General features: G+C 35.6%; 1 protein-coding gene across 7 annotated transcripts in view; it reads right to left on the reverse strand.

The window, feature by feature from the left end:
• OXCT1 (3-oxoacid CoA-transferase 1) overlaps positions 1-12,646 on the reverse strand; it is a 140,361-nt gene that overhangs the window by 68,809 nt on the left and 58,906 nt on the right. For all 7 annotated transcript variants that reach the window (NR_157114.2, NM_001364301.2, NM_001364302.2 and 4 more), the window contains 4 exons: positions 8,458-8,565; positions 6,694-6,808; positions 4,196-4,290; positions 2,149-2,197 (listed from right to left, as the gene is read on the reverse strand). Coding sequence is in view for 6 of the 7 variants with exons in the window: in NM_001364301.2 (NP_001351230.1) it covers positions 2,149-2,197; positions 4,196-4,290; positions 6,694-6,808; positions 8,458-8,565 (367 nt within the window). In the remaining variant the exon portion in view is untranslated. The remainder of the gene's footprint in view (positions 1-2,148; positions 2,198-4,195; positions 4,291-6,693; positions 6,809-8,457; positions 8,566-12,646) is intronic.

Below are 12,646 nucleotides of genomic sequence, written 5' to 3' on the forward strand. Positions count from 1 at the left end.
AAAAGGCCAGGGGTCACAAGCAGGAGACTGGGTATGAACTCAGTCCCTAGCAATGTTATCTTGAACCCATCACTTCAATTTTCTGGACCTCAGTTTCCCAATTTGTATAACAAGGTTTCATTTGAGGTTCCAATGGTATAATACATGTGAAAAAGTATGCTCTAAGCCATGTAAAACTATACAACTGGTAGTTCATTTTTACATAACCTTATGAGACTTTTTTAAAAGAGATCCTTGGAAATAGTTATATTATTATTTTGAATTTTTATCATACCAATTATATCCAGAAACATAACTCTTTGTATTCAAAGAGATTTCCATAAAATGCTTTCAAACTAACACAAATAATGGGTTGATCTTGCAGATAACTTTGGGAATTGAGGAAACCACCAATTTATATTCTAGGCTCTCCAGCTTAAAGTATTTCCTAATTTAAAATCAAAAGTGTCAAAGTATCAAAAATCCCAAAAAGGACTTTGAAAAACTTATAATATTATTAAACTGACTTGGAGCTTGGCTTCCCATAAGCAATGAATTCTTGCTTTGTAAAGTAGTTTGTAAATGTGGCACTTCAAGTGTTGAAGTTGAAATATAAAATTGGTGGAAATATAAAATTGGTGGCTTCATTTGGACTGAGCTACTTCTAAGCTCTATGGAATCAGAAACACCTACTGTCCAACCACATTGAAAAAGTTAACAACTTTTCCAAAGAAAGTGGGTTTTATAAACTGAAGCCTGAAATTTGGAACATGCAGTTATTCATTTTGCAAATAACTCACTAACATCATAAATTAATTAAACCAAGCAGCAAATATTTTCACAGATCAATGAGCTATTGCTAAAGGGTACAGTACAATTAAATTACAGCCTTGGTTAAATGTCATTGCTTTATCACAGTAGGCCTTTCAGAGTTGAGTCGTGTTATCTAATTCAACTATTCAACCAGAAGCTGTTTCACTCCAAAAATTCTAAGTATCAAACATCAATTTTACTTGGCAGCTGGCCTTTATGTTCAGCTCATATTACCTGTCTTCTGAAATTTACACATACTATTTTTGAATGCAAAGTAAGAATAATAAAGAATAATAGTTTTGCGGGGGCAGAATGAATAAAAGGATACAGAAAATCATGCTAGAACCTAAAAATTAGCTTCTTATGGGCAGCTGCACTCCAGGGATGACATATGGCTCCAAAGTGGTGGCAGTGTTGCCTCAAGCATAGGCAGTGAAGATGGCCAAAAGACCTGACCTGTTCTTCCTCCTCTAGGCTGTTAATATATGAGGCTACATCTCAGTCAAAGAAAAGGCTAGTAATAAAAGGTAAAGCATATGCCTGTAAGAACAAAGGAGAAGACAAGGCTCTAGTCCCCAGTTCAACAAAACTATATTTATTACATTACTAGATCATACTTACCAGCAGAGTACCTCCTTAAGCACCTCTCCTGCTCCAATGAGAACTAGAAAATAGGAAGCATCACCACCAACAAAAACCCCAGTGTACCAGATCTTTTCTTTTTGCTGCTATGGATTCACTCCCACCCTTCTCTATCCTGAGAAGGCTGACCTACTTTGACTTGAGATTCGCCAGTGGGAAGCACAGGCAGGCAACCCAGCAGAGGACACTCTCCACCCAACCAGGTTGCTGTGATTTGACTGAGTTCCTCTACCAAAGGCCACAGTTCCTACTAAGTGGCCAGTTCCTCTACCAAAGGCCACAGTTCCATTAAGTGGCCTTTGGTAGAGGAACTCAGTGAAATCACAGCAACCTGTCCCATAAAGCCCAGAGGTGATAACTCCCTGTGGAATTTCACCATCCTTTCTTGGTCTCTTTTAATCCTGTCCATGCCCTTGTAAATTGTCCCTTCCTCTAACTCTCAATTACCCCATATAAGAGTGCTCTCTGTTCACAGGCAGGACCCTGACTGATTGATCCATCAAAGCTCTTCCATTAAATGTGCCTTCATCTGCATTTCCTCCTTTATCTTGGTCATTCCTGAATGAGGGGAGACCTCAAAAAAGCTTATCTCTCCTCCTCAACAATGAATACCATGGAGTGCTCTCCAGGAAAAGACAAAGAATTGAGTCCAAACTCTTATTATGTAGCACAAAATTAATAGCAAAGGGAAGGGCTAGAAATAAGTGAGCTTACCTGCATTGATGAGATCTGCATCAGCTTCATGTTGTCGTGGATATGGACCCTGTCAAATACAACATACATTCAATTAGTAAATGAAGATTCTCACTGAATCACATATTAGAACTATAATATAAATAACTTCCCTAAAAACCCTATAAATTTATCATCCGAAGACTTGAGGTAAACTTTTGAAAAATAATTCGGTTGTGTCCATGGCTCTGTTTCTTATGTTAGTCTTTTCTATACTAAAGTTGTGATTGGGCAAATGAAAAATATTTTCTAAAAATTACCAGTTTGAAAGAAATGCTATACTATTAGAAATACAAGTCCATAAAACAAAAAGTAATTATTTAGTCCCTACTATGAAAATGTATTAGAAATATAGGTCGGTAAAACTAATGTAGGCCAGGGCAGTGGCTCATGCCTGTAATCTCAGCATTTTGGGAGGCTGAAGCAGGAGGATCACTTGAGGCCAGTTCAAAACCAGGCTGGCCAACATAGTGACACCCCATTCTCTTAAAAATATAAAAATCAAAGAGGAAAAATTTAGTACCTACTATGCAGCCAATGTTATTCAAAAACTTTTCTGTGAGGATTAATGAATACAAACTACATCACATTATTTGGCTAGAAGGACCTGGAGAGGCAAAGTTTTAGCTTTCTGATTTGTAAAATGTAGGCCTGAATTTGGGTTTCTAATCTTACTCCTCACTACATCTAAGTTTTGATATACTTATGTCCTTATGTTCCTTTTGCACAGCTACTCTCAGTAAAGTTTTTAAATTTTTCCATATATTTTTATAATGTAACTCTATTTAAATAGGCCAAGTAGTTTAAGAATATCACATATATTCGATGAAAAGAGAGGAAACTATAAAAAAATAAAAGGCATACTATATAAGATGGAGCCAAAAATGAAGAAATATTGGCTGTGAAATTTTTACATACTTTCTAGAGAGGGACCAAAAATTTATCCTTTAAACTGAAGTGGCAACTAATGTTCAGAGCTATGTAAATTTTCCTTTAAACACTGGCCATGGATAATCCACAAATTTATTTCCCTTTTCTTCAAAACCAGGAATTTGATCACTCTAGATAATCTCTAAGGCACCTTAAAAATGCAAGTCTTTAACTTCCACATGAATCTGCTTTTATCCAAATATATATCATTTTTGTGTCTTTGAAAATGTCATGATTATTGCCTCAATCAGTATCAACTATACGCTCAGGATCATTATTTATTTTGAATTGTGAATACATTTTCCATATGCATAATTTCTATTGCATTAACAGTTATTATCTACTGAGAAATAAAAGATTATGAATAGGCAAACCAAATCCCTGCCATTGTTAATTAAATTAAAATGTCATACAGGAAGTAAAAAAATATGATTTTATTATACTAATGAAAAAATATGGCCTAACTAAGAAAACTGAGCTCATCTGGATGCTTAATCTTAAGGAAGAAAAAAATTTAACCTTTTGGACAGTAGAGCTTCAAAAGGAGAATGAGATGAGAACTTCTACAGCTTTTTGAGGCAATCAACTCAAACAATGTCCCTGTCCTAAAGTAGAAACCTTACTCTTCAGTTTCTCACTCTGAGGCTTACTTAATTTTATTTAACATAGAACTATTGACAACCTTCATTATCTTGTCCAACAACAGAAGGATGAGAAATAGTTTACACAGGAAATCATGAGGTCTCTCTGAATCAGGTTCCACATGGGAGACGCAGTCAGAAAGCCAGAGTCAGGAACGTACCATCTACTACATAAAATACAATACTACATTGCTTACATTTTAAGGGAAAAATTAAATATTTTATCATGATAAAAAGAAAAATAAGCTTGGGCACTTTATGCAACAACTCAGATTTCACTATGTGGGACGGATCCACTAAAATCTCAGGTTTCAGCATTATACAATTTATCCATGTAACCAAAAATCACTTGCACCCTAAAAGCTATTGAAATAAAAAAATTTAATAAAAAATTTCACAACATGAAATATCTCATTCTTCATTAAGACTGGATTTTAGAAAACAAATTTTCATCTTACCAAACCCAGAACTCCATTTTCACTTTGAAGATGAACAGTTATATTTGGGCTGATAAAATTGCTGGCCAGGAGAGGGATTCCTATGCCCAAATTAGCTGGAAAAAAAAGATGTTAAGGTCCAGCATATAAAAGGTAGAGAAGTTATACCATAAATCTTCTACATATACAGATCTGAACAGAAGCTTTATTTAAAGGTGGCTTACTCTGAATGTAATAAATGAATATATTCTCCAATCACCCATGGCGCATTATTTTGTAATTTTTCAAAAAAAAAGTCTCTAATTAGTCAGCTTTTTCAGTAACATTAATATCAAAGTAGTGGCCTCAGAAGCTAGCCATTTGTCACATTTTAACAAAAATGTAAGCACATTTTCATTAATGTGCTCTGCAAATTTGGGTTTATGTATTATAACTGATTTATTAAACACAGCTTGACTTTTAAAGAATGATTTTCACTATTCAAAACTCCTGCCAAAAGTAAAGATCGTTTTTCATCGTCTTTATTGATAAATGGAGTTACCGTTTTTAAATTTTAAAAAAGTTTTCTGACAATACCAAAATTTCTGCCTAAAAGTATATCAGATCCTTTGGGTCTCTATAGTAACATTCATTGGTAACTGAATTTTCTATGTGACATAAAAAGAAAAGTGGGGAGGAAATTAAATTTCAGCAAATACAATTGAGCTCATCGATAAAGGAGCTGTTGTTAAGGCATCAAAGAGTTAAATGAGGTTGTTGAATTGTCTTCCTTAAATGATCAAAACAGGAGTGATGATGATTACTACTCAATGGTGTGGGTTCAATCCTGCCTATCAACATAGGCAGGCTGATCAGATCAAAGATACTCACACTGCCTGGAACTACTGCCCACTACTGTCCACTACCACTGCACAACAAATACCTCACCAGAACTAGTACAAAGAATGATGGCACTCTGATGAGATTCTAACAGTGAAATCTTCACAAATCAAGGCCAGAGGAGGTTTATATATGGTGCCATATTATAAACTACAAAAGCCAGCAGTACAACTCAATGACCCAGGTCACTTCTTGTGGATAGAGTAAATCTATGAAGCTATGATTATAGCTACTGGGTTTACCTCTAGTGTTCTATCACAGTCTAGTATAGTGTTATTTGTAATTTATTTCTCAATAATGCACAGAACACATTAGGATACTAATTCCATTATGAGCAGGTGTTTTTAGGACAGAGCAACCCAAATTACAAGTCTGGTACCTCAACTCTTTCATCATATTATAGCATTCTCTCAGTTCTTTAATATTTTAAAGTCAAACACCAGGGAGGAAAAAAGTCTATGTATTTTGGGTTGAAAAAAAGTAGGAGATATGGAAAGACCACTTGCATAAACTGACTTGCAAATATTTTTCACAGGCAATACAATAACTGAATAAAGAACACCTAAAATCAGTATTATAGTCAGTGTTTAAATATCAATGGTAAGTCAGGATAAGACGGGTTGAGAAGTCCAGTGACCAACTTTTACCTACTAACTCAACTTGGTTGACACCACACCTTGCTGATACAAGAACTGGAAGAGCAGCAACATGCTATTCTTTTCCCCTATGTGAGTTTGCACCATAACACAAGGTATAAACTGAAAAATGAACAAAAATGAGGTAGAGGTAAAAAGAAAGGGAAAAAAGAAAAGTTCTCCCAGTCAAGATCACAGTCTGGAAGACTGACATTCATGGACCAGGGAAGCTCACAGAATGGAGACATTTGTCATGTCTCTCATTCTTTCTGTCCTAGGTCTTTTAAGTATGGCTTCACTGTATCCACCATTCAACAAACATTCATTTTATCATATGCGATCTGTATTTGTATGTGTTATTTGTATTATATAATTCAATGTCTACTGTAGTGAAAACTAGCAAAATGGTGAACAGATTTGTTATTTAAATGCATTCAAAATCCAAATATTAATTGCATTAATTATGTCTACTCTACCTCTTTTTTTGACAAAGTATCTAAAGCAGAATTTGAATCATTTGTTGAATACCCTCATAAAATATTAGATATAACAGGGTAATCACAGGATCTTTGTCAAGAGAATAAAAGGGTTGTTAAGAAGTTGGATCTTTCAATGAGTATGCAAATGTCAGGATAGACAGAAAGTAAATAGCACTGGTTATCACTAGGAATTCTGAGATTTGAAAACACTCATCTTGGGTAATCTCTTTTCCCAATAATCTCCCATTAAATGCAAGTTGTACTGAAATCTAATGGGTATTAGAAAATAGCTAAGCAAATTATTGATTGCCATTTTGTTTCAAGAAGGCAAAGAGATATCTGTCATGTATCTTGACACCTTTGGATTATATGCCACATTTTGTAAAAAAAAAAAAAAAATTGATTAATTACCTTAAAAGTTACCATAGACTAGAGATGACTCACTATGCAAGAGGTCTAATAGCCTGATCAATATGGGAAAAGCAAAGGCTATGTCTTTGCCCGGGCTCAGAAGGATAAAGGATACCATACATGCCATCCTCAAACTCAAGAGCGGCCCTCTTGATGATTCGTTCCCTTACGTCATCTCCAGGTTTAGCAGATTTGGCTTCCCCATCTCCCTCTTTCCGGATTGATAAACGCTTTAAATTAAACAGAAATAAATTATTCGTGGTTGAGGTATGCTTTGTATTTTATCACTGCTGAAATAAATTTTACTGGAAAAAAAGATGAGCTCTCTCCCATTGTTATGAGACAAATCTGCAATATACCAGATATTTAAAAAATACTATGGGTGATATTTGATGGTAGAAATAATTCTTTAGGAACTAAATGAAAGTGGTCAGATTTGTTTAAAGAGGAAGATACGCTGTTCAGTCTGTTTGAAGCAAATAATCTGTTACTATCACACTGTCTGCTCCTTCTGTTATTCTTCCAACTAAATTCTCCTCTGGTGCTCAGGGATTGGCCAGAAGAATGAAAGAGGAACAGACTTTGGGAATGTGTTTTTCAGGGCTGTCAGAATGTGTTTACCAGGTGTTGCTGCTGCCAATTGCCTGTTTCCACCTGCAAAGTCCAGACTATTTTTACCACAAATGCACCACAGGAATCATAGAAATACCCAGAAACCAGCCAGGAAACTATTTCCTCTATTAAGTCTCTTTGACACAAACTCTGGCTCGTGTTTGCAAAAGTCTCATCCTTTCTTCCTGGGCCCCTGACACTGGTTTTGTATTATAAAATGTCTTCCTGTTTGATATCTACAAGGTAGTGGGTATCTCTAGCACCCTACTGTATGTCTATTCTGTTGCTGATCCCTAGACACTTCTAAATCATGACAGTAATTCTGGTAGGGTGGCCATTGTCTACTCTCACTGGCTGATGATTTAGATATGTGTCCCCTCCAAATCTCAGGTTGAAATGTACTTTCCAATGTTGGAGATGCGGCCTAGTGGGAAGTGTTGGATCATGGATGCAGATCCCTTATGAATTGGCTTAGTGCCATCCCTTGGAAATGCAGGAGTTCTCCCTCTGTTCGTTTACACACGAGCTGGTTGTCTAAAGGAGCCTGGCACCTTCTCTCTCTCTCGCCTTGTGACATGCCTGCTTCCCCTTTTCCTTCTGCTCTGAGTAAAAGCTTCCTGAGGTCCTGACCAGAAGCAGATGCTGGTGCCATGCTTCACGTATAGCCCACAGAAGTGTGAGCCAAACAAACTTCTTTATAAATTACCCAGTCTCAGGTATTCTTTTACAGCAATGCAAAAGGGACTAACACACTGGCCTTAGAATACCTTCAATGCTCCTGGTACCTACACTCCTTGCCACAATCTCATACTCACCAGCTACCCACAGCCTGAAGCTAATTAGAATGACATTCTACACTCTAGAAAAGTGCAAAGCACCTTCAAGACAGACAATTCTGAACAATCAAACATTAAGATAAGACTACAGCAGGGATAAAACCACCAAAGACATGATTATTCTTATCTCCCCTCTAAGACAGCCAGAAAAACTACAGATCATAAATTAGGACAGTAGAAGCCTAGTAGACACAGCCTAGAGAATCTCATGGCATGGTGATACATATCTTGTGATGACAAGGCACTGTCAGCCTGCACAGAGGCATAGACCATCATATCCCCATGATGATAGACACATGAGAAGCTCTTACTAAGATCCAAGACCAGACTTTCTGCTCAGCTCTAGTTCCCCATCATCTCGAATGGCCCCAGGGATGCACTATCTCTGTAACTGGATCCATGAATACTGACAAAGCAGCTAAGTCAATTACCTCAATTCTTTTCTCATATTTTTCTCCCTTTATAAGGCGATGTACATAAATCTGAGGAATATGGATGTCTTCTGGAGCAAATGCTCCAATATCCACAATTTCTTCAACCTAGACAAAGAGAAATTTCTTTCAAAGTTAGTGAAAGCTTAAAGTGAACATTTTTAATTTTTTAAAAAGTATACACAACTTCACATACAACTTAGGCTGCAAACATATGACGGAATATGGACATATATCTATGTATGTATATGTATACATATAGGTAATGTCTATCACACCTCCTGGACCCACAAAAGAGAAGAAATTAAAGTGTATGCGTCTGAACAGAAAATACAGACCATTAGGCTCCAGAAGTTAGTCTTTGCTTAAAAGAGTCTCAGTTACAAATTTGTCAAATGGTTTGTCAGTACAGCAGCTTGAACTTTCACAAATTGCAGTTCAACTATGCAATGATAGCACATTCCTTAAACACAGATTTTCTAAATTAATGGGAAATTTATCATATCAAAGACAAAAATCTGTAATAACATCTGCTTGGTCAATTGAAGAGCTTTTTAAATATAGATACAAATGCTATTTGTAACAGTTGTAAATTATTCTTGTTAGCTTCCTAGGATCGTGATACAACTGCAATTGCTGAAATAATTTACTTAAAGACAGATAATTAATTCCAATATGGAAACTTCAAAACTGAAATATTAATTAATAACTAGAAATACTCAATTTAATTAGAATCAAAGTCATTCACCAAGAATAAGGTCATATAGCAATATGAAATGCCTCCACATTAGTCTGTTATTTTAGAATTAATTTAAAAGACAATTTTTCTATCAACATAAAACAGTTCAAAAGAACAAGGATCAAGAAAAACTAAACTCAACATTGTTGTGGTGAAAGAATTAGCTTTCTGGTGACACGCACGCACACAAACATACACACCTTTAAGTTGTGAGTACTCAGCTTAACAGATACAGTGTCCAAAACAAACGTTTGCTTCCATGAACTGACTTATACAAGGATAGTAGTATTGATTTTTGTTTCCTAAACTAATCACTGAAATCTGGAAATCTGTGAGGTTAAGTAGCCCTTCTTATGCTGTTCTACTACTATATGCCTTCACTAGGCTCCTCCTACAGTGCAAGAATACCAGGGCTTACAGAAGACATTTTACTTATTGTGCAATGCTCACAAATAGCTGAAAAAGGCAAGGACATGGTGGATAAAAGCTATCTTCTTTGATAAACAGAAAAATCAAACAAAAATTCCAAGGAAAGGTCAGAAAATATGTCGGCATCCAAGTTGAACTACTGGGTAGAGAGGCATCTGGGGATGAGTGAGGAGACAGGGAAAGTGGGGCCGAAGACCCCTTGCCACTGCACTCTATGTCCTCCCCTTGAAAACTCTGTATGCTCCAGTATTTTCTATTCGAGGTGGAGGTGGGGAATGCAGAGCAGCTAAGCACTACTGCTACCTCTTCAACTGGTTGGAACTTTCAGCCATTAGGGCTCATTCACATCTTTCCATATTCAGTTTTAGCCTTCAAAGAAGTTCTTGACTTTAAAAATGTGTTTATACATTAATCCAGTATCCTGAGGATAGACATGAAGATTTATTATTCATGAAAACACTAATCACAAAATTTATTATAATAATGAATTGAAAACAACTTTAATGTCAGCAATAGGGAAATGGTCAAATAAACATGGTGTAGCCATGTGATTAATCAATATTATGCACTCATAATATTTAATGATCTCATAATTTCATGTTTCATAAAATGCAAGATTTTGTATAAGTAAATAAAAATTTATAGAAATGCACTTTGGGATAGACAATTATTTATATACCTACAGAAAATAAAAGGAAACACACGGAAATGCTAAGAATTGTTATCTCTGGGTAATAGTACAAGTGGTTTTTGTTTTCCTTTTACTTTTATAATCAAAACTGAAACCCACAATGTTATTTTTTCAGAAGATGTGATAAACACTAAGTTTCTAAAACTAGAAAATCATAAGTGGAGCATGTGATAAATCTCACAATTAGTTTGACATGTACCAAAGAGGGCATGTTAAAAAGAAAATAGAGAGTCTAAGAAAAACTGAAGTTTCTAAACCCTAAAAGCAGTCACATTATGAACTAAACTAAGCAAACCCTTCTTGCCTGCACATTTGAAAATAATAATGTGAATTATTTTTCATGCCTAATATTGCTCCAAAAGGTCAGGCCCTCAAATCTCTTGCTATGATTGTGACAGCAGCTTCCTTTGGTCTTCCTGCCTTACCCTCTAGCAGGGGCAAAGAACATAATAAAAAAGGAAGAAAAAAAAGTATTGCTCACTTAAACTGAAAATGCTGATGGAAACCCGCCACTATTTTCTTTTGGTTCCATCAAAGAATGTTTCAACAGAAAACACCAAATCAAGACAAAGCTTCATTACCAAGGACAATTATATCATAACTCTCAGAACTAACAGAATGAATATGTCCTGGTAAAACAACTCCGATAAGCAAGAATCTAGCTAAACATAAACAATTCCATGTTTTGTCATCCTAATATAAATGGCTTTCAGACTGTAGAAAATGCATGTGCAGCATTTGTCAAAATAACAACACTCAACAGTATTGAAAACGTCTATACAAAAATCAAAGCTTTCTCAGAGTTGGTTAGCAGAGTTAATAGCTAAGAAAGAAAATATTTGAAGTACAAACCAAAAGAAGAAAACATGTTTTCAGACAATCTATGAAAAGAGTTTAAAAAAAAAAATGAAGAGGCAGAACTATCTTAATGCTAGCTATTGAAGGGACTGACTTCAGTGCCAGTTTCGTGTGATCTTGAGAACAATAAGGAAGGAGCAATGGGAGGATTAAAAAGTCTAGTGAGATCAGGCGATTTAAACATAAGCGTTAATGGAAAACCTGATGAGAAAATGATGACTAAAATGAGCTGGTTAGGACAAACATAAAAATAAAAGATCCCTTACTAAAGATGGCAGAGTTTTCCTCCTGAAGTTAGAAATGGGTAATAAAGAATAAAGGACAAAGGAAAAGCCTCAGGGCAAAGCAATGGGCAGATGTAAGTATCCTCAGGCAAGATCAAGATGGAAGAGAGGTAGCTAAGAACAACCCGGACTTCTCCATGGCACTATGAATAGTTCTCATGCCCCACCACTTGCTACAACCAGAAATCCAGACGTTTGAGGCTTCTCTAATTGGTACTTGTCTTTAGTCATTAACAGAAAAATAGACACTAGGAAATGTTGTTATTGATCTGAACTTTGTTTTAAAAGATTGCTTTCTCTGCACTGCACTCTTCCTACTTTATAACTGAAAACTTATTTTAAAGCTTAGAGAAGGATAAGAATTCATCCCTTGGTGACAATGTGTTTGTGATTGCTTGGCAAACATTATATCTCAGGTAAGAGAAAAGAGGAGCTGCAAGGCAATAACGTCCTCATTTTTTATTTTATTTTAGTGACAACCTCAATCTGTTATAGACACAAAAATGGACCCAACCCTAAATGGTGTTAGCGAAAAATTATACACACCTGCAAAACTCTGTGTACGATACAAAGTAAGGGCTGTTGAGGGGGAGGAAGAGGGAGACTCACATTCCAGGCTTTCTTCCTGACTCATTTTAAGTTTCAAAAAAGTTTAGGAGGAAACTTCTTTTGCCAAAAAGAAAAGAAAAAAAACAGACAACAAGCAATAATGTCTAGAATCATGAGAAACATTAACTCCAAAAGAGAGGGAAAAAAAAAAAAAGCAGCTGTGGAAGTCTAGAAAAATAAAAGGGGGAGACAATAAGCAATAAGAGAAGTTACAAGTTAAATGCAGAGGTGCTCTGGATGTTAAAATGAAGTAAAATGAGTAAAATGAAGAGGAAATGTGAGTAAGACCTCACGTTCAATAGATAAATAGGATAACTATAGTTAAAAATCTATTGTACCTCTCAAAGTTGCTAGAAGAGAATAATTTGAATGTGCTTAGCATAAAGAATAGATAAATATGGTAATGAATATCCCAATTACCCTGATTTTACCTTTATGTTATACGAATATGTCAAATTATCACAGGTACCCTGAAAACATACAGGTCTATCATGTATCAAAAAAGAAATAATTTTTTAAACAAGAGGCAATGTAGAGAAAGAGGAGGTCAGCATGTAAGGCATCTTTCTCAAAGATTCA

This window comes from Homo sapiens, chromosome 5, assembly GCF_000001405.40.
Source record: "Homo sapiens chromosome 5, GRCh38.p14 Primary Assembly".
In the NCBI taxonomy this organism is placed as follows: domain Eukaryota; kingdom Metazoa; phylum Chordata; class Mammalia; order Primates; family Hominidae; genus Homo; species Homo sapiens.